The sequence below is a fragment of the Homo sapiens genome, chromosome 1 (assembly GCF_000001405.40).
Source record: "Homo sapiens chromosome 1, GRCh38.p14 Primary Assembly".
In the NCBI taxonomy this organism is placed as follows: Eukaryota; Metazoa; Chordata; class Mammalia; order Primates; family Hominidae; genus Homo; species Homo sapiens.
The window spans coordinates 10290054-10316246 of NC_000001.11; the positions used below are offsets into that span (position 1 = coordinate 10290054).

Genomic DNA, 26193 nt, shown 5'->3' on the forward strand with positions numbered 1-26193 from the left:
ATCACTTACTTCTCTCTCTCTCTCTCTGGTATACAGTAACCTCCTTGAGAGCAGGAAACATGTTTTCGTTCTTTTTAAATTAAATTAAATTTAATTTAATTAATTTATTTTTTTAATTTTACTTTACGTTCCAGGATGCATGTGCAGAATGTGTAGGCTTGTTACATAGGAATACATGTGCCATGGTGGTTTGCTGCCCCTATCAACCCGTTATCTGGGTTTTAAACCCTGTATGCATTAGGTTCTTATATTTATATAAGTGTAAACACTCAGCAAGTGATTGGTAAATTGTCACTTCAGTGTGTGTCTTCAGATGCGATTTAATAGTAAACCTTTCTATGTTGACTGCTGGGTTGTGTTCAGGAGGTTAGTGTGTTATGGCGAAATTGTAGTGAAACAAAAGCAGTAAATACGTTTGGGAACTTTATTCTTTTTTTTCTTTTTTTGAGATGGAGTTTTGCTCTGTTGCTCAGGCTGCAGTGCAGTGGCGCGATCTCGGCTCGCTGCAAGCTCTGCCTCCCGGGTTCATGCCATTCTCCTTCCTCAGCCTCCTGAGTAGCTGGGATTACAGGCGCCTGCCACCATGCCCACGTGGATCACGAGGTCAAGAGCTTGAGACCATCCTGGCCAACATGGTGAAACCCCGTCTCTACTAAAAATACAAAAATTAACTGGGCGTGGTGGCACGTGCCTGTAGTCCCAGCTGCTCGGGAGGCTGAGGCAGGAGAATCACTTGATCCCCAGAGGTGAGGTTGCAGTGATCTGAGATCGCGCCACTGCAGCCTGGTGACAAAGGAAGACTCCGTCTCAAAAAAAAAAAAGACTTGGAGGATTTATTTGTTTGGGGTTGATTTAGTTTTAGGTCTAATCTTTATGATTCTTATCTTATGTATTAATAAAAGAAAAATCTCTTTACATTTAATTCTGGCCTGTATCCTCAAAGGGCATGATTTGCTTCTTGCTTTTCTAGCATGGTATGTTAAATTATAAGACTCTTTGCCTCTTTAACTGTGCGCTTCCTTCCTTAGGAATCAGAGAAGATCATTGCTGAGTTGAATGAAACTTGGGAAGAGAAGCTTCGTAAAACAGAGGCCATCAGAATGGAGAGGTCAGGAGGTTAAAATCTGGAAATGTTTCTAAGTTTTCTAGGGGATGTGGATTACTTTATCGTAAGAAAAGATAAAATATAAATTAAAATCAAAGAGTCTGCCCTTCTAAAACACAAAACGAAACCAAAAAAATGGACAGGGATTTATGGCCAGTTGAATTTATGCTTTGAAATGACATCTACATATTTAAATATTATCTAGGGAGTCACAGGTTTATTAGTTACCATATTACATGTTGCTAGGGATTCATAAAAATGGAACATATTGGCCAGGCGCGGTGGCTCACGCCTGTAATGCCAGCACTTTGGGAGGCTGAGGTGGGCAGATCACGAGGTCGGGAGATCGAGACCATCCTGGCTAGCATGGTGAAACCCCATCTCTACTAAAAATACAAAACAAATTAGCCGGGCATGGTGGTGGGCACCTGTAGTCCCAGCTACTCGGGAGGCTGAGGCAGGAGAATGGCGTGAACCTGGGAGGCAGAGTTTGCAGTGAGCCGAGATGGTGCCACTGCACTGCAGCCTGGGTGACAGCAAGACTCTGTCTCAAAAAAAAAAAAAAGGAATAGCCTCTTCTTTTCTTTTTTATATTAATATGCATATCATTTATGAATTATTGACTATCCCAAAGTCAGTTGAGACAAAGTTCTTATCTCAGTGAATATAACTTTAACAAAGCAAGATTTCATTGATTTTGAATGTGATGTTGCTTTTAGAAATAACTTCTCATTAATGATGAGATAAGCACATTATTTTATGTTTGCATTATTGGCTATAAACATGGCCAGTTGTTTTTGCTTTGCAGGCTTTATTTTCCAATTCATATTAGACTGATTTAATTGACATTTTGGTATTAGTGTTCTGATATACCTGTTTTTTTCCTAGAGAGGCTTTGTTGGCTGAGATGGGAGTTGCCATTCGGGAAGATGGAGGAACCCTAGGGGTTTTCTCACCTAAAAAGGTAGGAAACAATGCTGTGAAACCTAATCAGACAGAGACACTTTTTGTTTGTCTTTGTTACTGGGGCACTTCATGTCTTTCAGGACCTACTCTCCCCCTTATTATCTTGATACTTGCCTTAATTTCAGATATTTCTGATTTCATCTTAGAGCATGGTCTTATAGTACAAAGGCAGCCTATTTCTAAAATGCCTATCTTGTTTACTGTTTACAAAAGAAAAAACCTAAGGCAATATGTAACCTTTGGCCATGATTCAGTTTGTTTAGTCATCTTTATTTGTTGCTTTCTCTTAAATTCCCAGCCTAACCTAGCGTACTTTCAGTTTTGGCTACTCTTTCATGTAGATTTTCCCACAGAAGTCGTCTACCCTGCTTTATAACTTTTTGGAACCAATTTCAGCTGTACAGGTTTGTGGAGAATAATACTGCTTCCATTTGCTTCTGCAATTTGTATTATAGACAGCCATTGTACTAAGTAAAGCAATTCCTGTCCCTATCCTTCTAGACTCCTCTGCTTCCTTCTTCATTTTTTAAAAAGTGTCTCCAATAGTTACCTTCCTTTTTACATAATCATAGTTATGAAGTAGTTACGTAGCTTTTAGCTAATTAGAGTAGTAAGGGTTTTTTTGTTTTTTTCTTAAACTAAGTTGCAACGTCTTGTTGGATACTAGAAAATGACTATCAAATGGTTATTTTGTGTGCTTATGTATCAGAAAATAGGAGAACATATATCGATGTACAAAGCATGTATTTTATGCCACTAGTAAATTGTCCTTTATTTCAAGTGACCTCACATTGGCTATTGGAGACTTAAACATCTTTATTCATAGGTTCTGTTGATGATCTCTCTAAGTTAGGATACAAGGGGTGGTGAGTTTTGAATTGGTACTTTTATGTGATATGAAATATTCCTGTGGTTTTCGCTACAATTCTTCTGGTCAGGTTTTTCTATCCTGGCCACATAACTTTTTTTTTTTTTTCTTCCCAAATTCCAATGTGTTATTTTCAACAGAAAAGACTGATGTAAAGACATTTTAGATGCATATTGTAGAATAGAACAGTTAAGTATTTTATATGTTTATATTATGAAAGGTTAGTGGTTTTCACAGTTTTAATAGTTTTTCCTTCAGTAAGACATGTATTCATTCAGATATGTTACTTAGGATTATATAGATTTTAGCAGTTACAGTTTTGGTGGAATTTAATTGTGCCTATGCATATGTCTAATAAAGGTATTTTATAACATCTTACAGTATTAAAGACTGTGAGGAAATTTTTTTTTTTTTTTTTTTTTGAGACAGAGTCTCACTCTGTCGCCAGGCTGGACTGCAGTGGTGTGATCTTGGCTCACTGCAACCTCCGCCTCCCGGGTTCAAGTGATTCTCCTGCCTCAGCCTCCCAAGTAGCTGGACTGCAGGCACATGCCACCACGCCCAGCTAAGTTTTGTATTTTTAGTAGAGACGGTTTCACCATGTTGGCCAAGGGTGGTCTTGATCTCTTGACTTTGTGATCCACCCACTTCAGCCTCTCGAAGTGCTGGGATTACAGGCATGAGCCACTGTGCCTGGCTGGAAAATTTTTATTATAACAACTAGTGAAAATATTATGCATTTAACATAAATCATAAATAACTTGAACAAATGTTGAGATGTACACTGCATGGAATTCCAAAGTGAGATCTCTGCTTCCAAAGCTTTTTCTTACTTTAATTTTACCCATCTTGCTTTAGCTTTCTAGACTTCTTCATGAAAGGAAGGGATATACCAGTGACCACATCCAAACTCAGTCTTAGGACCTGTTTCTGAGATTCCATTTTTCAAATTATGATGTGCTTTAAAGAATGCTACTCACAAAGGGCTTTGACTTTCTCAAACCAGTCAAGTTCTTCAACTACAAAGGGGGATGCTAGTTGAGAAGATGTGGAGGTTTTTCAGATTTCTCTTTAACCATCTTTTATAGTTCCTTTTCCTACCCCCTCATCTGACTCTTCTTTCATTCTTCCACATTTGCTGGCACTCTCTTGAGTAGATTTTGGCCTCAAGACCATGTGACTTATTTTTGGATTCCAGTGGGTTATTTTCACTAAAGAAGGTTGGTTTTTTAAAAAGATTTTAGAAATATTAGAGTTAGATGAAGAGGATTGTTAGAAGATGTTTATCTTATCGAATATCAGTAATTTTACTTTTTTCTTTAAGGTAAAGACTAATAAATTAAAATCTTTTAAGGTAAAGACAAATTAATAACTGGGATCAGAAGAACTGATAAAAATTATAGTGGGAAGTGGTGGGGGGGTATGGGGACATTTTAATAAAAGTAAATATTTCTTGAGATTTTTACCCAGGCATTTACAAAAATTATAATTATTCCGTTCAGAGAATTGGCCTGTCATTTTTTCCTTGTGCTTTGACCTTATCAAAAATTAGGTCTTGTTTTTTTATCCCAGAACTCATGTTTTAAAATGGAATGCCAGGCACAGTGGCTCACTCCTATAGTCCCAACACTTTGGGAGGCCAAGGAGGGTGGGTCAGTTGAGGTCAGTAGTTCGAGACCAGCCTGGCCAACATGGTGAAACCCTGCCTCCACTAAAAATAGAAAAATTAGCCAGGCGTGGTGGCGAACACCTGTAATCCCAGCTACTTGAGAGGCTGAGGCAGGAGAATCACTTGAACCTGGAAGGCAGAGGTTGCAGTGAGTCAAAATCATGCCGCTGTACTCTAGACAGAGCGAGACTCTGTCTCAAATTAATTAATTAATTAAAATAAAATAGAATGCACTTGGTTCCGTTTGGTGAGGCCTGAAGAGAGTGTTTTCTCTTTATTATGGAACCGCAACTAGGGATAAAAAGAAATCCCTCTCTAGGCTCTGTGGAGAGTTGGAGAAGCCTGGCCTCTTGTAGGCCCCTGTTGTTACCACAGCTCTCTCATGGTGCCCTGCTCCAAATTGATCATCTGTAATCTTTTTCAGACCCCACATCTTGTTAACCTCAATGAAGACCCACTAATGTCTGAGTGCCTACTTTATTACATCAAAGATGGAATTACAAGGTATATTTATTTCCTGTTTTGGTCACTTCGTGTGTTTTCCCCCTCTTAGATAATTGAATAACTAAAGGGAAGGGGTTGAAAAAATTAACGTAATGATTTGCTGTATTTTTTGTCTGAAATAGTTACAAACTATGCTCTCTTTCCAAATAATGTGTTTTTGCCACTGGAGCCAGTTACTATGTAGTTTTTCTCTGAAGACCCTAAATAATTTTTTTTTCCTTTAACAAATATACATTCCTTAGGGATTTTATTTGACTCATGTCTTTATAATACTGTATGAGTTACATTGGTATATCAGTGCTCCTTGTTTCTTATTCTGATGTAGAGAGGTTGATCATATGTGAGGATAGAATTCATAGTTGAAAGCTTCTGATGCAACAAGGCAATACCTTTTTTGTACGTACCAAAGGATATTCTTTGGAATAAAGAGGTTCATTGTTTGTAGTGCTTTCTGTGTCTGAATTTCCCTGGGAAACACTTTCTCTTGTGTTCAGGGTTGGCCAAGCAGATGCTGAGCGGCGCCAGGACATAGTGCTGAGCGGGGCTCACATTAAAGAAGAGCATTGTATCTTCCGGAGTGAGAGAAGCAACAGCGGGGAAGGTGAGCATTCCTGGCTGGAGCTTCAGCAACAACATTTTCATTTTATATTATGAGAAATCCTTAAGACTTTGTATTCTCTGTCTATCAGTAGTACTTTCTTATACAATCTAATTCTGAAAAATGGAGAGACCTGGGCTGCTTATGAATGCAGAGATGGACAAGGCTGCTTTACATGAAAATAGCTTGGACAAAAGAAGCCCTTTTTTACTGCCAAGAACTGAGAAGGACATAGGCAATTAGGCTTGGTCTGGAATGTTAATTATTTAATAGAAAAGTAAGAAAATAGCAGATATCCTGGGTAATAGGAGATTTGAAGGACATTAAGTCAACCCAGCAGAATTTATTTTTATCTAAAAGGGAAGAAAAAGTCAGTCTTGATTTTTGCCTGGGTTATTAACAAAACAACAATTTAATGGTTTTTTTCTGTTATATAAGTCACTCATTCCCTTATCAAAATATTAGCTTCTCAGTCTTTAGTTTCTGGTTATTACCTATATCTCATCCTTACAATTTCTGATGGTTCTGAGTTTTATTGACTGAACCGTCAGAGATCCCTGAAACTAATATTTCCTATCATCTTCTTAGGTTTATCAAATAGAGTTAAATGTTCTTGTGTTAGCCATGGCCACAGATAGCCTCTTCTATTGGGGCTAGTTCTGGTACCCCAAAATGAACTACTGTATAGACAACTTCAGCCACTTGATTGATTGCAGGGATTTATTCTACTTACTGCAAATCCTGATAAGCAACTGCTTTCCATTATTTGATTCCAATAGTTTGTAATGATAACATTAGTTTGTGTTTGTTCCTCTTAGTTATCGTGACCTTAGAGCCCTGTGAGCGCTCAGAAACCTACGTAAATGGCAAGAGGGTGTCCCAGCCTGTTCAGCTGCGCTCAGGTGAGACTGGGAGAGGTTTGCCATCTTCAGCAATGTGCACATGGCTTCTGTGACAACTCTAATTTTTGGCTGTTTAAAGGCTGAAGTAATAGTCAGCATTAGGATTTTTGTTCTTGTAAAAACAACAGCTCTGAAAGCTGTCTTTTCACATTAGGGAGGGGTGAGGTTGTTAAATAGATACTATATATTAAAAAAATTATTTCTTAACCCTATTTTTCTGTTTTGTGCTAGGAAACCGTATCATCATGGGTAAAAACCATGTTTTCCGCTTTAACCACCCGGAACAAGCACGAGCTGAGCGAGAGAAGACTCCTTCTGCTGAGACCCCCTCTGAGCCTGTGGACTGGACATTTGCCCAGAGGGAGCTTCTGGAAAAACAAGGAATTGATATGAAACAAGAGATGGAGAAAAGGTAATGCACAGTTACGCAGCCCATATGACTGTTTCTTCTTTTAAACATGTAATACTAATAGCATTCTTGAATTTTTTTTTTTTTTTTTACTTCTAGGCTACAGGAAATGGAGATCTTATACAAAAAGGAGAAGGAAGAAGCAGATCTTCTTTTGGAGCAGCAGAGACTGGTAGGAGTCCTGAATCTGCTAAACTGTTGGGAAAAGGGCAGCTTGTTCCCATACTTTCCCTGTTCCACAGAGCAGTACTCACCCAAATTGCTTCTGTCTCAATGATACCAAGCACTATTCTTTAATTTCCTTAATGGAGAATGAACTTAAATCTCCCGGTAGCCTTAGCCTGAAAAAATAGTCCACAGAGGTACTCTTTTGGGCTTTTTATGTCTTAAAGCCAAATCTTAACTTCTGTTACAACCAAATACTTTTTAAGGAAATAGAGCTTTTCTGGTAGCCTTTGCCTCTTGATAGTGGTTTTGGAATTTGCTTCAGTGGTGGTTCTTTAAATGATAATTACTCTGAATATTGAATTTGGTGAGAGTTTGCCTTGGTTTTGTTTCTGATCACTTGATAGTACTAATTCTCTGCTCTTGGGCTGACTTTGGGATTGTTCTTACGCTGGGCAGACTTTTTTTTTTTAAGTTAAACTGTGTCTAAAAGTGTTGCTGCACAGTTGCATGTGTTACTCCTTTCCTTATCCCCTGCATGGAGTCTGAATTCTCAATCAGGTTCTCAGTGGCATGTGTGGTAGCGGTGGGAGCAAAGGCTGCATACCCAGCCCGGACAGGACAGAAGGCTTGCTTCCTTTGAGGGAAGGAGGATTTGAGTGAGCAGCTGGAAAGTCTGTTTAAGGTCCCAGCTATTGATACAATACTAATGGCTTCAGCGTTTTATAATGGTAATTGATTTCCCAGATTTGATAGAAACTGAATCTCATGAATAAATAAGTTGATCCATTAGTTAGATTTTCATTTTTAAAGCCAACCAAACAACCAATTTTGGTTAACAAAGCTGTGGTTATAAGAACCTTCTCAGCATTCATTTGATATGTAAGAATAAAGTATAACTAACCTTTGGATACTGTGGATGCAGTTTAGGAAGTTCTCATTTTTTAAGATTCAGTTGTATCTTTCTTTTAAGGTAAGGGGGCATTAGGGAGAAAGTTCAAGCACTGGCTTCTTTCCTTAGTATAAAATACAGCATGTAAACTACAGCCTTCTAGTCATGCTCTGTGCTTTGGAGAAGAAGGGGCTTAGTGCTAAGTGGGCCAGAAACGTGAAGGACTTGAGCACAAGCAACCTTTTCCAGAATACCTCAGTTCTCAGGCATGGGCATGGATTAAACCAGTTAGTTTGTTATCTTGTAAATTATAGTAAAGCCCTAAAAAGAATGGATTGTAAGAATAAATCAAGGGTTTGGGGCAAGATAATAGCAGTGTTACCAACAGAGGCTCTTTAGGAGGCCTTTTTAGCATTAAGTTTTTAATGAAAACGGAAAGAACTAGCTACAATGTGATTAGTGGCTTGAAAGGTTTGTGACACAAGAAGATGTCTTTTATCTTAATAATGTAGTACATTCTAATAACATGCCTCTGATGGTCTGTGAGAGATCAAATGAGGACAGGTGTAATTAAGCTCTATTATTAACAATAATGCCTTGTATTTGTATAGTGCTTTATAATTTACAGAGAGCGTTAACATCCATCAATTTATTTGACCCTCAAAACAACCCTCTTTGTTTACTTATGCATATGTATAAGTAAAATATGTAATATTACCTCCAGTTGAGGAAACCAAAACTTGGCTGGGCGCGGTGGGTCACGCCTGTAATCCCAGCACTTTGGGAAGCCTAGGCAGGTGGATCCTGGGACCTCACTTAGAATAACTAAGCACGGTGCTCGCTTCGGCAGCACATATACTAAAATTGGAACGATACAGAGAAGATTAGCATGGCCCCTGCGCAAGGATGACACGCAAATTCGTGAAGCGTTCCATATTTAAAAAAAAAAAAAAAGAAACAAAAACCACAAAAACAAAACAAAACAAGACAAACAAAAAAAAAGAATAACTAAGCACGGCAGAATAAGGATGCCTGGTGCTATCCATAACCAAGAGTTGGTGATCATTCTGTGCCCTAAAATAAAGATGGCCACTAAATAAAGAGAAAGTGAATGTCTAAGACGTATTTAGTTTCTAGGGAATGTACATACCCTGCAGATAATCAGATTCTGGTTGTTGTTTGCTCTGTGTATCTGAAAGCAAGCCAGGATTTCAAGAGCAGCTTCTTAAAGCAAGGAAGTTGCTTTCCTCTCAAAGGTCTGTCTGTTCCACTTTCATTTCTTGACTTAAGGGAGGAACTGATTTCTAACACTTCAGCCTGAAGAATATCTACCAGTAGTAATACTGAATGGAAAATGTCTTTATATATTACCCTGTATTGGTCAATTAACAGATGTATTTCTAATGCACCCTGTGAATAAACATTGAGAGAATACAAAGGAATTATTAATCAGTAAATATTTATTTAATATTTACCATATGTAATCACTTTTTGCATAATGTCAGCATTAAACAATGGAATTCAGGCTCATGAGTTTTCTATTCTGATAGTTCCCAAATGCATCACATTGTTAGGGTGCTGAGTATTTTCTTCAGTTAGTGCTCTAGGATACCCTGGTCCTTTCTGTGCTTGCTTTTTACACACAGTTTTGGGATCTTCTCTCTTCTTATTTGCATAAGTTCCTTGCAGAGTCTCTTTAGGAGGCCTACTTTGCATTTGGCATTTAATGAAAGCCGAAGGATCATTTTGTGACATGTGAATTGACCAGACCTCAGTAGCTTTTCCAACTCCTTAATAAATGAATCTAAATATTTTAAAAATCTGGCCAGGCGCGGTGGCTCACGCCTGTAATCCCAGCACTTTGGGAGGCCAGGGCTGGCAGATCACTTGAGGTCAGGAGTTCGAGACCAGCCTGGCCAACATAGTGAAACCCCATCTCTACTGAAAATACAAAAATTAGCAGGACGTCTTGGTGGGCACCTGTAATCCCAGCTGCTTGGGAGGCTGAGGCAGGAGAATTGCTTAAACCTAGCAGGCGGAGGTTGCAGTGAGCCAAGATCGCGCAACTGCACTCAAGCCTGGGTGATAAAGCTAGACTCAGTGTCAAATAATAATAATAATAATAATAATAATAATATAGATAAATATAAAAAATTCTTTTTTTGACATGGAGATAGGATTTATATCACATAAACTTTGCATACAGTTTTTAGTATCACCATCAATATGTGACAGGGTGATACATTTGAACTTTAAAGAGGACATACTCTACAGAGTCAAAATGGCAGTATTTTAAAAAGAAAGAAAATGACAGCTGCTAGATTTTACTTGAGTTGAGTTCTTTTGGATTTATATAGACTTATTTATATTTTATTTTAGAGTTTAAAGATAACTTTTGTCTCTTAAGCATGATATTAAAACAATTCTTAGAATACTTGTCATTTCCTGAATTAGGTAATATTCATTTCATCCTTAAGCAATTTGAAGAGGAAAAGAAAAACAGCCAGAAAAAAAGTGATAGTTGTTGGTTATGTGGGAAAGAATCAAAGATAATTTGTTTATGTTCTGTAAAATTCAGTTTATACATATTTGCAAAAAATCCTCTTCAGGAGTCAGACATAGTTTTTTCTCTAATATTTATGAATGTCATATTTATCACTTAAAATTAGCCATTATGATTTTAAAAACTAAAAATGAAAAGAAAAATTAATGTAGAGTCTGTGTAAATTTAGCAAACTTTTGTTGGTAAGTTATCAAATAGGTGGGAGTTATAAATGGGCTTAGTACTCATTTGTAGGTCAATAGAAATAATACAAATCAGTGGCAAGATTTTTAAATTCAGAGGCCAAATTATTATTATTATTGTGGAAAGTTACTTTTTTGTTCCTTAGAAAGTGACTATACAGGCAAATCTTTGGTTTTGTCAGGTGTGATGATGTGTGCCTGTAGTCCCGGCTAAGGCAGGAAGATCACTTGAGCGCAAGTGTTTGAGACCAGTTTGGGTCCCTGTCTCAAAAAACAAAGCAAACAAAGAAACAAACAAAAACAACAAACTTTGGTCTAGGAGGCAAGGTACTATTTATCAGTTTCAAGCAAACAAACTCTTCTAGAGATATTTTTGGTAACCACAGTGAATAAAAGATTGACTGTTAGTAACTATTTTCATTTACTAGACTGCCCTGAACTACTCATCTGTGAGTTGAGTATTTTTTTTTTAAGTGAAAGCATGTTTATTAAGAAAATAAAGGAATAGGCTGGGTGCGGTGGCTCACCCCTGTAATCCCAGCACTTTGGGAGGCCAAGGTGGGTGGATCACCTGAAGTCAGGAGTTCAAGACCAGCCGGGCCAACATGGTGAAACCCCATCTCTACCAAAAATGCAAAAATTAGGTAGGCGTGGTGGCAGGTGCCTGTAGTCCCAGCTACTCGGGAGGCTGAGGCAGGAGAATTACTTGAACCCAAGAGGTGGAGGTTGCAGTGAGCCGAGATCGGGCACTCCAGCCTGGGCGACAGAGCAAGATTCTGTCTCAAAAAAAAAAGAAACAAAGAAAGAAAGTAAAGCAATAAAGAATGGCTACTTCATAGGCAGAGCAGCTGAGTATTTTCTTTTCCCAGCAACTTTTATCTCCCGAATAGAAATTCTTTCTAATCCCACTTACTATTTGGAATTCTAAATCCAACATTGCTTTCCCAGAGATCCATGTTATCAAGATTTGCTTGTATTAGTTAAGAGCGATTGCTTATTATCTATACAGCCCTTGAAATTACATTGTTGTGAAGTCAGGCTGCTGTTTTAGGGCTAAGTAAGGTTTTCTGAAAAAGAGGCAATGGTGCAAAGACAGCTGGAAAGACAGAGTTAAACATACCTTTTAAAGTGGATCAATTTTATGTAACCAGAGTATGATCTTTCTGTTTTATGTGTTTATTGGAAGAGTTGTCACTTAAAGTGATATTCCTCAAATAGCTAAAAATGTCCTGGGTTTTCTAGATAGAAAATATCTCTAAGTTGTACTTATTAAAATGTGACTTGGGGAATTTTAAATTATATTCAGTGGAAGTATATTTGCCCAGCTTTATTTTTGTTCGGGTAATTTATTTCTCAAAATTTTGGAGGTGAGGTCTTTATTGATTTGTGTGTGTGAAAAACAAGACAAAACACACCCACTATGAGGATCCTTTAAAAAAAAAGCTTTCTTGTTATCCAGATAACACACTTTAATCGTACGACGGAAATGGATACATTTAACATGACAAAAAATAGCAAATCCTCTGCTCATGGAAAGATGATTTCCAAACCCTCTTGTCTTACAGAAGAAAACATTTGGTTGACTAAGAACTGACATGGTCTGCTCATAGGGATTCTTAGCATTTTTAACATCATCCCTGTTTGACTGCTTCTTTTTCTACATTCTCATCTTCTAACTTTTTTCTAGGGCTGCTCTTTTTAGTAAAGCTAAACAAAACCTGGCGTCCTACAGCCTTACTAACCTTTGTTAATCCGCCTGCTCGTCACATCTTTGTATGGCATCTGTGCTCACTCATGGGGGAAAGAGATTCTGGAAGAAGCAACAGCAATAACCAAGGCAAATGTGGGGAAGTGTCTGCATGGGTTGTTAGCATGATGTGTGGGGCCTAGGTTTTACTTCATTTTCTTCGAATAGTGAGGTCGTTAAGTCACGCCATTTGAATAATTTTGTATGACCATAGGGTGACATACTCATCCCTGTTGTCAATTCTCCTAAGAAATTTGGTGGCAAATTTCATCACTTAAGCCAGAAAGTGGAAATTTGGATTAGGGATGCCAAATAAGCAAATCTTTATATTGATAGAAATGTACATAGGCGTATGTCTTAATAGACTTCCACATTATTGAGGGGTTTTTTTTGGTTTTGTTTTGTTTTTTAGTTTTTTTGGTCTTATTTTTAAATTTGGTTAAGGCTTTTTTGCTTGCTTTTTCTTCGATTTAATTTTCCTTTTTTACATTTTAATTTTGGTTATTTTGGGGCCATTTTTTGATTTTGTTTTTCCAAAGGACGCGGATTCTGATAGCGGGGACGATTCTGACAAGAGGTCGTGTGAAGAGAGCTGGAAACTGATTACTTCTCTGAGAGAAAAGCTACCTCCCAGCAAGTTGCAAACCATTGTTAAAAAATGTGGCCTCCCAAGCAGTGGGAAGAAACGTGAACCAATTAAAATGTATCAGATACCCCAAAGAAGGCGCTTGAGTAAAGATTCCAAGTGGGTCACAATCTCAGATCTTAAAATTCAGGCTGTCAAAGAGATTTGCTATGAGGTTGCTCTCAATGACTTCAGGCACAGTCGGCAGGAGATTGAAGCCCTGGCCATTGTCAAGATGAAGGAGCTTTGTGCCATGTATGGCAAGAAAGACCCCAATGAGCGGGACTCCTGGAGGGCAGTGGCCAGGGACGTCTGGGATACCGTCGGTGTTGGGGATGAGAAGATCGAAGACGTCATGGCCACTGGGAAAGGCAGCACTGATGTAGATGACCTCAAGGTTCATATAGACAAGCTGGAAGATATTTTGCAAGAAGTCAAAAAGCAAAATAACATGAAAGACGAGGAGATAAAAGTCTTAAGAAATAAAATGCTCAAAATGGAAAAAGTCTTGCCACTGATCGGATCTCAGGAACAGAAAAGCCCAGGAAGCCACAAAGCAAAGGAGCCTGTTGGTGCTGGTGTTAGTAGCACCTCTGAGAATAATGTAAGTAAAGGAGACAATGGAGAACTTGCAAAAGAAGAACGTGTTTCCCAGCTGATGAATGGGGATCCAGCTTTTAGACGTGGACGTCTGCGCTGGATGAGGCAAGAGCAAATTCGGTTTAAGAACTTGCAACAGCAGGAGATAACAAAGCAGCTTCGTCGGCAGAATGTACCTCATAGGTTCATCCCTCCTGAGAACCGGAAGCCCCGCTTCCCCTTTAAGAGCAACCCTAAACACAGAAACTCTTGGAGTCCTGGGACACATATCATCATAACAGAAGATGAGGTTATAGAGCTTAGGATTCCAAAAGACGATGAAGCAAGGAAAGGGAATAAAGAAGAGAGCCAAGAAAAAGGGGGTAAAGGAGCTTTTAAGGATCCCCAGTTTCCATGGGGCTCTCAAGGAATGAGAAGTCAAGATCACATCCAAGTTAGCAAGCAGCACATTAATAATCAGCAACAGCCACCTCAACTACGTTGGAGAAGCAATTCTCTCAATAATGGCCAGCCGAAAAGTACGCGCTGCCAGGCATCTGCCTCCGCGGAGTCATTAAACTCCCACAGTGGTCACCCCACTGCTGATGTACAGACTTTCCAGGCAAAGCGCCATATTCATCAACACCGTCAGTCTTACTGTAATTATAACACTGGAGGTCAGTTAGAGGGCAATGCAGCCACTTCCTATCAGAAGCAGACTGACAAACCCAGCCACTGTAGCCAGTTTGTGACACCTCCGCGGATGAGGAGACAGTTCTCAGCACCCAATCTCAAAGCTGGTCGAGAAACCACAGTATAAATCAGTTACTGGACAAACTTGAAATCATGGTGGAAGAAACAGACAGTGTTAGCTCATGATTTGATTTGGTTCTACCTTTGGCCTTGAGTTCTTATTATTTACATTATAAATATTAACTGGTTTTATATTGTTAAGACAAAACACTGGTAAAAGTTTCAACACCTCCCTTTTGCTTGTATACCATAAATGGGCAGTTTCTGAAATTTTGGATAAAGCATCAAGAACTCCTTTTTCTGAAACGTTCCTCCTTTTTTAGTGCCTAATTAATATACTTACTTACACAGACTTGTCCCATCTTGATGTAAGTTTGTTATGTTTTTATAATGCCTATAAATTAATCTGACATCCAGAAAGACCTGCCTCTTAGTTTATGCAGACATTCAAAAGGAGAATTTGATAAGCAGAATTAAATGTCTGTTATTCATAAATGTTAGAAATTGGTTTAAAAATAATAACATGCAACTGGGTGGGCACAGCTTTGGATTTCTCATCCACGTCTGTTCCCTTCTTTAAATATGATTAGAATTTTCGTAAGCCAAAACTAAAGGTCTTCAAACATATCTTGCAATACATAGCTTTGCATCTTCCACACAACTTCCACGTCTTCTTTTATTCTGTATTTTACAAAAAACTCATATAATGGTTTTTTCTTTTGAATGTATCAGAATATGTATGAAATTTGTCATATCAGAATCTATAAATTGGCACTGTGTCTGGGATTCTGTTTGTGGTTTGCATTTTGAAGTTCAATGTATCATTTGACACACATGCACACAAAGTGAACTATTCACCAAAATCATGCCAACAGAAATACCAACAAAAAACTTGTGTAGCTTGTAAGGAGGTTATTTGGCTTGAGAGGGAAGAGGTGGGACAGACATGGGGGACAAAGCTACAGCATATGGCTCTGTGGTGCTGCTTTTTTCCAATAGTTGATGAAATAGTGAAATAAAAGTTAACTTTGGTTGGGCTTGGAATAAAGGAGATGATACATAATAAACTATTCTTTGGTTAGCATTAGTAATGCTTGTAGACACTCAAACAAGGAAGGCGAAGTCCTGATGATGATTTATTGTATCAATACCTCATTTTATTTGGTTGTGGTCTCAGTTTGCCTCACTGGAGAATCCACTAAGAAAGATGGATTTTAATGGGAAGAAAAGAATTATTTTCTACATCGTTCCTCATCTCTTGAGTTTGTCAAAAAGTTTTCTAAGAGGCAGTGTGAAGAGCCAGAGATGTCCGAAATTGCCTGACTTCATGTTTTGGAAGATTCCTAAGTCACATGAAATCATCTATCAAACACTTGTCTTCCAAACGGTGTGAAAAACTACAGCCAAGATAGCAGTTAGCATTCAAGGAAGCCTTAAAGATTGTGATTATGTTTTTTTTTCCTTTGCGTGTGGGCACTATGCTTTATTAGAACACATTATTTTTAATCATAGTATTTTTTCTTTGCCTCTAAGAAAATACTTTCTTAATGCTCAGAAAGTTGCTTCCAATTAATGTTTTTTTCCCCTTAAAAAGAGAAGCTTTGAGAGATATTTTTGCTTTCATAGCTAGAACAGTTGAAGTCTTCAACTGAGGTTTTATAGCAGATTAGACATGGGTAAATGATGTCTGTAATGGGTTGAGTTACTGAGATGACAATCTCCTGTGCCATTTGGTTTGAATGTACTTGATAGGCTGCTTCAAATCAGTCACTTCAATGCATTTTGTGTAAACCCAGTTGTCCTTTTTTATTCCTCTTTAGACATAAATGTGCTAACTATTCCTTTCTATACACAATTTATTTTCTAAGATTAAAAATAATAATTGCTAGGTTTGGTGGCACATGCGTACAGCCCCAGCTACTTAGGAGGCTGAAGCAGGAGGATCCCTAGAGCCCAGGAGTTCTGGGCTGTGGTACACTATGCCAGTTGGGTGTAAGTTTGGCATCAATATGGTGATGTCCCTGAAGCAGGAAACCACAAACTTGCATCAGGACGGGTGAACCCAGCCCAGGTTGGAAATGGAGCAGGCCAAAACTCCCAGGCTGATCAGTAATGGGATCTTGCCTATGAATAGCCAGTGCACTGCAGCCAGGACAACAGAGTGAGAACCTGTCTTTAAAAAAAAAAAAAAAAAAAAAAAAAAAGGTAATATTTATTATATTATTCAGGTTTCAACTCTGTAGCAAAAATGGGCTCTCATTTCCCTAACTTGAGATAACATAGGGTAGGTCCATATATTTTCATTCTTACAGTGGTCTTTTCATGGGAGTGAATGAGTTACTCTCCACTGGTGATTAGGTAATACTGTAGAATGAAGAGTTGTATAATATATTCATTTACAGCTGTGGATTGTGGTAAGGACTATGTCCACAGTGATATTCCAAAGAATTGGGTTTATATTTGTGCTTCATCTGTTAATCCCAGGTGTCCTCATGTTGCTGAAATATTTAGATAGCTAAAATATCCCTTAATTTCACAGATGACCAGGAAGAAATTAACCAAGGTTTTATTGACTGCCATGTATGTCCCATGATGCATTTCTGAGCAAATGCTTATCCTAGAGAATAACTCTGTATGAATAAAATTGCTTAATTGAGTCTCTTACTAAATAAGTAACTAGTGCCATGCTTTTGTGAGCTCTTGGTATGGCCCATATTACTTTGTTTTTTGTTTTTGTTATTGTTGTTTTGTGATAGTCTTGCTCTGTCGCCCAGGCTGCAGTGCAGTGGCACAATCTCAGCTCACTGCAACCTCTGCCTCCTGGGTTCAAGCAATTCTCCTGTCTCAGCCTCCTGGGTAGCTGGGACTACAGGTGCATGCCACCATGCCTGGCTAACTTTTGTATTTTTAGTAGAGACAGGGTTTCACCACGTTGGTCAGGCTGGTCTCGAATTCCTAACCTCAGGTGATCCACCTGCCTTGGCCTCCCAAAGTGCTGAGATTACAGGCGTGAGCCACCGCGCCTGGCCTGTTTGTTTTTTTAACATGATTTTTCTCTAAGCTTAAATACCACAAGGCCAAAGAGAAATGGTCATAATTTAAACCATTATTATATTGTTGAGGTATCCCTAGCTATTATTATAGCAAAGTGGGAAAAAAGTGTTTATTCTATTGAAGTTATGTAATGATCCGACATTAATGGGAATATAGAGGAGTCCTAATTAATTGGTATAATTTCACAAAGCGGAATGGTATTCCTTGGAGAGTTAAAGACATTCTCTTTAGTAAGTGTAAACCAAAGGGCATTTTCTTTATTCCTGCTTCTAATTCCTTCTAGCCCAGTGAATTATTTCTCTTTTCACTGGTAATGTGATGAATGGGAATTGTTTATTACATTGAAGTGACTTGAAGTGACCTTTTGTGCTTTAGGTGCAGGTTGACACTGAAAAAAAAACAAAACACTGAATTTTTCACACCTATGTCTGCATTAAAGGCTGTTTTACTACCGGAAGTTACATAGACTTCCTGCAGTCAGCTGCTGTGCCCCAGTGCCTTACTGGTCCTTTGTAGATTTGCCTTAATGATTTGTACAAATGACTGGGAGGCGGGGATGCTGCCTGTGTCCTGGTGAACCTTAATGAAGGGGCCGTCTTAGGCACAGTGCAAAACAAGCATTTGTCCTGTACTGTTAGAGCCAAAATTGTGATGAGCAATACTGATAATTGTCCAGTTTATGTCATCTTTCCCAGATTTTAAAATCTGTTCTAGATATTCTTAGCTTGAACCACTTTTGATTGTGAAATGTATTAGGTGTTGTCCCATTATTACTGTAAAATGAAGTTTTGAATCTTCTTGTTAATAAACTGTGGATTTCCCCTCTCAATTTCTTAAACAACAACAAAAAAATGCTTGAAGATTGTCTTTGAGTGTAAGATCTGCCTTTTCAGAAAGGGAGTGTTAGTTTGTAATGTTAAAAAATAAAGACCTCATTCAATAAAAGTTGAAGTCATCTTTTAAGAGTGTGATTTCTCTCTATGTGGGAAGAGGGAAAAGGAAAGCAAGGTAATGCTAACTAAACCTGGTTTTGACTTTTATTTATTGCTTTTTCATCTGAAGATGGTTGTAAACTAAATCTTCTTTTTGATATTTCTATGTGAACTTGATTAGTTTTAAAGCTTTTGCTTTAGCTACCCTTTTCTGTTTAACAAAATTCTATCTTAAGTGAGATCTTTCAGCCCTATTTTATGCCACATTTCACTTACATAAAATCTTTTCTCACAAAAGATGAATAAGGATATTACTTTCTGATTTGAGTTTAGTTTAACCATGTTTTCAGTTTTTTCTCTACATACTCTTGGTTTGAAGTTCTTTTAAATGAAATGATTTATTTTCCTTTATATGGGCAGAAACTAAATTTCTAAAAAGTTTTGAGTGACTCTGCAGGTTTTCTTTCTCCTTTAACCTCTGCTTTTCTTCACCCAGAGTATTGATGGTACACTAGAGAGGAAACAGGACAAAGCAGAATATTTTTCTGGAATGGACCACTAGTCTCATTGAAAATTTGGACCTGACATTATTTTTTAATGTTTAAAAACAACATAATCACGCATCATGGGATAGAATACAAAATCCACATGAGTTTTTAATATGAAATCTGAAACTTTAGAGAAGTGTTATGCCTGAATCGGTCTGCTTCCAGCCTCATACCCTTTTCCTTCAGGTACTTTGTAATCCTTTGCTGTCGGAGAAACTGTTGGAAAAGTTGCAATGTCCCTACCGTTTATAGGGTGACACAGAAGATTACAGTGTGATATGTGTAGTGACACTGTGCTGATGAGACTGTGGCCACACAGTGCTGCTGGTGGTGAGAAGCGAAGTTAAGTGTTGTCAACAACTGGGGTGTCATCTTGGGTGTGGATATTTTCCTTCCAGCTATTGCTTGCTAATTATAATCTGCCATTAGGAGCCAAGCCTTTAATGTCTAAAACAGCCTAACCGGAAAACTCAGAATGGTGATATTGATTTTACTGTGAATATCACCTTCTCAGAGGTGCCTTAATTGTACCACCATCATCTCTCATCGAGAGTACCCTAGCTTGTCTCTTTGCTTCTATTCTTGACCCCTATAATCCAATGTCCACATAGCAACCAAGATCATCTTTTAAAAACATAAATCATATCTTGTCAGTGTCCTCAGGGGCTTTCCATTGCATGAAAGAATCTTAGTCTTACTGTAGTCTCCAAGGCTTTACATGTTTTGGCTGCTTACCTACCACTCTTAACACTGTCACTCTCACACCACAGACACTCTGCCCTTTTTTTTGTTCCTTGTATATGCCAAGTTTCTTCCCACCTCTGGGCTCTTGCACTTCTCAAGCCTGGAGCCCATTTCCATCATGCTTACCTCCCCTTCCAGACTTGAGCTCCTCAGCTCTTTCTGCCCAGCCCACCACAAGTTGACTCACTGTTTTAATAATGATGGCCTGTAATTATCTTTTCTTTGTATTTGTTTGGTTCTTCCACGAGAATGTAAACTCACCTAGAATAAATGCCGTATCTGTCTTATTCACTTCGCCAGTCATATAAATCCATAACCTGGAAGAGTGGTTCTCAAACTTTAATGTCAGTTAGAATTTTGGGGTCTTATGAGAACACAGACTATTGGGCCCACCTTCAGAGTTTCTGATTCACTAGGTCTGGGGCGAGACCTGATAAATTTGCATACCTCATAAATTCCCAGGTGATTCTGATGCTGCTGGTCCAGTAAACACCTTTGATAACCAGTGATCTGGAATGGGGGCTTGGTAAGCATTTTCTGTAAAACACTAGATAGTAAATATTTTAGACTTAGTGGACCATGTGGTCTTTTTTGTGAAACTGTTCAACTCTATTGTTGTAGTACGAAAGCAGCCATAGACAATATGGAAATGAACAAGGGTGGCCGTGTTCCAGTCAAACTGTGTTTACAGAAACAGGCAGTGGGCTGGATCTAGCCCGAAGGCCATAGTTTGCCGACCCCGATCTAGAAGATAGCTACTTCTGATAAATATTTATCTAAAAGATCAGTATGTGACTGTGTATGTAATCTAGAAGACAGATACATGCCAGTTGCTGGGATGAGTGGTAAGTGACAAATGTGTGGTCCCTGGCCTCATAAAGTTCTCAGAGTTATGGAGGGAGACAGCTGTAATAACCACACCAGTAGTGAGTCAGTACATTTGTGACAAGTGCCATGATGGAAAAACACAAGGTGCTCTGAAAGGGTTTAACGGGTGCCTTTGGGAATGAAAAGTGGCCTCTCATTGCTCTTAGCTGACAATGTTTTTGTTTCACTGAGGAAAAAAAGCAATCAGAAGAAACTTTGTTTTCTTCCTTTGTCTAGTTTTGCCTGCATCATCCATCCATACCTGTACTGGGCTTTCCCTCCTGTTAGTGGATAAACTGTCCTTGATCCTCTCCTAGCCCAGCCCTTGCTCCCTGCATTCCATGCCCTCTCAAGAACTTGTTGAACATTTACCCCCTTCTCTTTTACATCATCAGTTTCTCTCCTGGATTATTCCTGCCAGCATGCAAACATGTCACCAGTTGCAAAAGTTTTCTGTACTTATTACGTCCTACTTGCCTACCTCCCATTCTTTTTTTTTTTTTTTTTGAGATAGAGTCTCACTCTGTCACCCAGGCTGGAGTGCAGTGGCACGATCTGAGCTTACTGCAACCTCTACCTTCCGGGTTCAAGTAATTCTCCTGCCTCCTGAGTAGCTGGGACTACAGGTGAACGCCACCACACCGAGCTAATTTTTGTATTTTTAGTAGAGACGGACGGGGTCTCACCATGTTGGCTAGGCTGGTCTTGAACTCCTGACCTCAGGTGATCCACCTGTCTCAGCCTCCCAAAGTGCTGGGATTACGGGTGTGAGCCACCGCTCCAGGCCCCATTTTTTCTTTTCATTATTTCCTATCCTCATTCTTGCTGGAACTCATCTAGTCAGACTCTTGTTCTCCCCTCACCACCAAAGCTGCTCTTATCAGAGTCACAAAAGCTCTTCTTGATGATAGATTCAGTGCATTTTCTCAGTCCTCATCTTACTGAATGTCTCTGGCATTTGACACAGTTGTCTGCTCTTCATGGGACACTTTCTTCTCTTGGCTTCTTTTCCTTGAACCTTTCCAGCTGCTCCATCATGGTCTGTGGACACAGACCTTGGCTATTTCTATATGTTTCTCTGTTCCCCCTTCCATTTTTGTACTGATGATGAAGATAATGATAACTCATATATTGAGCATGTATTACATGTATTAATACACATAAACCTTTTACATGTTTTGACTCATTGAGTCCTCACAACACCCCTCTTCTGTGAGGTAGGTATTGCTTATTCCCTTTTCACATACTTTCCCAGTGTAACACGGCTACTCAGCGGGAGAGCCAGAGCCAGTCCCAGGGAGTCATTCTGTCTGCAAACCTCTGCCCTGCCTCGCCTTCTGCTGACTCTCAGGTGTCCTCTCTCTCCAGCCTGGGCCCCTACCCTGAGCTCTAGATGCTGATGATACACAACTACTGCCTGACATCCAAATCACTGGCAGGCACCTTACATTTAAATCATTTGAACTGGAGCAGCTAGCTCAGGCCACAAATCCAAGTCACCTTTAGTTTCTCTTTTTCTTCACATCCCATGATCAGATCATCAGTAGATCCTGTTTGCTCTCCCTGTAAAACATATCCTGACTCCATCTCTTTTCACCACCTTTGCTGCTAATAACCTGGTCCAAGCCACCACAGTGCTGGACAGTGCTGTGACAGCCTCATGACCATTCTTCTTATTTCCATAGTTCCTCCTGAGTCCCACAGAGAATAATGTTTTTAAAACATATCCCAGCTCTAAACCATCCAGCAGTTTCCATTAGAATAATATCCCCAGACCTTACCATGGTCTATAAGGCCATCTGTACTCCATTTGCTACCTGATTACATCTGATGCATCTCCTACCCGTCTCCCTACTCTGCCATTCCATCCACACAAGTTTTCTTGCTTTTCCTGAAATATGTGGTGCCCCTTTCCATTTCAGGACCTTGGCACTTGCTGTTACTATGAATTTGAGTAGAATAACCCCTGCCAAAGACCTCTGCCTGCTTAACCTACTCAGTCTAGAAGTCTGTCTCCCATTCTTCTCCCTGGTAGTCTCTAACCCTATCTTTATCTTTCTTCATACTAGTACTCGCCACTAAAATCCATCTATATTTTGTTTACTCTTTATCATCTCTGTCTCCTTTGTCAATGGAACCCTTGTCTTATTGACCACTAGCATTTGGCACATAGTAGGAGCACAAAAGGTATTTGCTGAGTGGATGGATGGATAATGGTTTAAAAATCATGCTCTGGATTGCCTGGGCTCAAGTCTCATTTTTAGCATTTGCTTAACCTCTTTCTTTCTCTTTAACATGAGGCTAACTATATAGTACCATCTTTATTTTTTTGTTTTGTTTTGTTTTTTGTTTTTTTATTGAGACAGAGTCTTGCTCTGTCACCTAGGCTGGAGTGTGTGACACGATCTTGGCTCACTGCAACCTCTGCTGCCCTGGTTCAAGCGATTCTTGTGGCTCAGCCTCCCAAGTAGCTGAGACTACAGGCACACGCCACCACGCCCTACTTATTTTTTTGTATTTTTAGTAGAGATGAGTTTTGCCATGGTGACCAGACTGGTTTCAAACTCCCGACCTCAGGTGATCCGTCCACCTTGGCCTCCCAAAGTTCTGGGATTACAGGCATGAGCCACCACGCCTAGCCTAGTACCATCTTTATAAGGTTATTGAGAAGATTGTAATAATTCATGTTTAACATTAAGAACACTTCCTGATACAAAATAAGCTTAAAAACCGGGGTAGATAGGTAGGAGAGAACATTCTAGTAGAGAGAACAGCCAGTGCTGTGCCTTTATAAATATGGGGCATATTTTGAACTAGTTAGGATTTTTTTTTTTTTTTTTTTTGAGATGGAGTCTCGCTCTGTCGCCCAGGCTGGAGTGCAGTGGCGCAATCTCGGCTCACTGCAAGCTCCGCCTCCTGGGTTCACACCATTCTCCTGCCTCAGGCTCCCGAGTAGCTGGGACTACAGGTGCCCACCACCACACCCGGCTAATTTTTTGTAGTTTTAGTAGAGACGGGGTTTCACCGTGTTAGCCAGGATGGTCTTGATCTCCTGACCTCGTGATCTGCCCACCTTGGCCTCCCAAAGTGTTGAGATTACAGGCGTGAGCCACCGTGCTTGGCCATTAGGATTTCTTATAAACATAAATGTCTACTGAAAAAATTATTATTATTATTATTATTACTGAGACAGAGTTTCACTCTTGTTGCCCAGGCCGGAGTGCAGTGGCGAGATCTTGGCTCACTGCAACCTCTGCCTCCTGGGTTCAAGCAGTTCTCCTGCTCAGCCTTCCGAGTAGCTGGGATTACGGCATGTGCCACCATGCCTAGCTAATTTTTGTATCATTAGTAGAGATGGGGTTTCACCAGTCAGCCAGGCTGGTCTCGAACTCCTAACTCACCCGCCTCGGCCTCCCAAAGTGCTGGGATTGCAGGCATGAGCCACCGCGTCCAGCCAAAATATATTATTTTTTAATGTGCCTTCCGTAATTAGTTTTTGTCACAAAATGAACAGAACGATAGTATGTGAATCTCATTAATTAGCCATTTGTTGTGGGAAATGGTGATGATATACAGTGTCCTTTTTAAAAGCTCGTAAGTAGCCTGGTTTGGGGAGGGGGCCAATTCAATAGATGATGTTGATATTTTGACTATCAATTGTGGTCAAAATGCAGTTAAAGTTTTTTGTTTGTTTGTTTTTGTTGTTGTTTTTGAGATGGGGTCTCGCTGTGTCCTCCAGGCTGGAGTGGAGTGGCACAGTCTTGGCTCACTGCAACCTCCACTTCCTGGGCTCAAGTGATCCTCCCACCTTAGCGTCCCGAGTAACTGGGACTACATATGCCCTCCACTAAGTCCGGCTAATTTTTGTGTTTTTAGCAGAAACAGGGTCTCACTATGTTGCCCGGACTGGTCTCAAACTCCTGAGCTCAAGTGATCCACCCGCCTCTGCCTCCCAGAGTGCTGGGATTACAGGCATGTGCCACCACACCTGGCCCAGTTAAACTTTTTAGATTCATAGGGCTATGGGAAATCTTTTCATGTTAGTTTTGGTTACTAAAGCACAGCCACAGCTGTTAGGGAAGGTCATCCTCATACCTTAACTGTCAGAGTCTGAGAATTTTGTATTCATTGGTAGTTTGACCAGCCTGTCAACTTATTCTTGAAGAAATCCTCAAGATAAAGTATTAACATTTTTTTTCTACCTGATGATTTTTAGGTAAAGCAGCAGCTTTCTCTTTTTGCTATAATAATTCCATGTAATGTATAGTTTTTCCCCGACTCCCCAGCTTTTTGAGACATTTGAAACAGAGAAGCTGAAAAAAAAACTATAATGAACTTTTGTATACCCATACTTATATATTTTTCCTGAATTATGTGAAAATTATAGATATCATGGCAGTTTACCCCAAATACTTCCATGCTTATCTCTTAAAATCAAGAATATTCTTTTTTTTTTTTTTTTTTTTTTTTTTAAGACGGAGTCTCACTCTGTTGCCCAGGCTAGAGCAATGGTGCAATCTCAGCTCACTGCAAACTACACCTCCCGGGTTGAAGTGATTCTCCCGCCTCAGCCTCCCAAGTAGCTGGGACTACAGGCACCTGCTATCATGCCCAGCTAATTTTGTGTTTTTGTAGAGATGGGGTTTCACCATGTTGGCCAGGCTGGTCTTGAACTCCTGACCTCAGGTGATCTGCCTGCCTCGGCCTCCCAAAGTGCTGGGATTACAGGCATGAGCCACTGCATCCAGCCAGGAATATTCTCCTAATACCACTATCCCATCTAGGAAATTTAATACTGATTCAATATTGATTCAATATTATATCATGTACAGTCCATTTTCAAATTTCGTTAATTAAATCAAAAATTAGGAAAGAGAGTGTTTTAATCCAAGATCCAGTCAAGGTTTATATATTTCATTTGGTTATGATTTTTTAAATCTTTCATTATACTGGTATTTTTGAATTGTCTAGGCCACATTCTGATTTGTCTGATTATTTCCTCAGTATTAGATTCAAGTTAAATCTTTTTGTTAAGAATGCTATAAAGGGGCCGGGTGCAGTGGCTCACGCCTCTAATCCCAGCGCTTTGGGAGGCCGAGACGGGTGGATCACCTGAGGTCAGGAGTTCAAGACCAGCCTGGCCAACATGGTAAAACCCCCTCTCTATTAAAAATACAAAATTTAACTGGGCATGGTGGTACACACCTGTAGTCCCAGCTACTTGGGAGGCTGAGGCAGGAGAATTGCTTGAACCTGGGAGGCAGAGGTTATAGTGAGCTGAGATTGTGCCACTGCACTCCAGCCTGGGTGACAGAGCAAAACTCCATCTCAAAAAAAAAAAAAAAAAAAAGCTATGAAGGGGCCAGGCACGTTGGCTCACTCTTGTAGTCCCAGCTACTTGGGAGGCTGAGGCAGGAGGATCACTTGAGCCTGAGAGGTCAAGGTTATAGTGAGCTATGATTGTACCATTGCACCCCAGCCTGGGTGACAGAGGGAGACCCTTTCTCCAAAAAAAAGGAAA

At 39.5% G+C, this 26193-nt stretch overlaps 1 protein-coding gene and 2 pseudogenes across 5 annotated transcripts in view, besides 2 other annotated features; all 3 read left to right on the forward strand.

Annotated features, from left to right (window-relative positions):
* The window catches only part of KIF1B (kinesin family member 1B), a 171034-nt gene that overhangs the window by 79484 nt on the left and 65357 nt on the right, over positions 1–26193 (forward strand). For 3 of the 5 annotated variants that reach the window (NM_001365951.3, NM_015074.3, NM_001365952.1), the window contains 7 exons: positions 1029–1108; positions 1994–2069; positions 5033–5112; positions 5607–5713; positions 6529–6612; positions 6844–7024; positions 7121–7193. In NM_001365951.3, coding sequence (NP_001352880.1) covers positions 1029–1108; positions 1994–2069; positions 5033–5112; positions 5607–5713; positions 6529–6612; positions 6844–7024; positions 7121–7193 — 681 coding nt within the window. Of the gene's footprint in view, positions 1–1028; positions 1109–1993; positions 2070–5032; positions 5113–5606; positions 5714–6528; positions 6613–6843; positions 7025–7120; positions 7194–13109; positions 18545–26193 lie in introns of those variants that run through there. The other 2 variants (NM_183416.4, NM_001365953.1) reach the window with 1 other exon arrangement.
* On the forward strand, positions 8913–9017 carry RNU6-37P (RNA, U6 small nuclear 37, pseudogene; annotated as a pseudogene).
* RN7SL731P (RNA, 7SL, cytoplasmic 731, pseudogene) lies at positions 16412–16704 on the forward strand (annotated as a pseudogene).
* Positions 17396–17896: an enhancer, noted in NCBI's record as "H3K27ac hESC enhancer chr1:10367507-10368007 (GRCh37/hg19 assembly coordinates)". NCBI's record gives its function as "activates a minimal SCP1, AML or CMV promoter by ChIP-STARR-seq in primed H9 embryonic stem cells {active_cell/tissue: H9 hESC(primed)}" and the evidence as "EXISTENCE:reporter gene assay evidence [ECO:0000049][PMID:30033119]".
* Positions 21504–21704: a silencer, noted in NCBI's record as "peak67 fragment used in MPRA reporter construct". NCBI's record gives its function as "represses an SCP1 promoter by STARR-seq MPRAs in K562 erythroleukemia cells {active_cell/tissue: K562}" and the evidence as "EXISTENCE:reporter gene assay evidence [ECO:0000049][PMID:32103011]".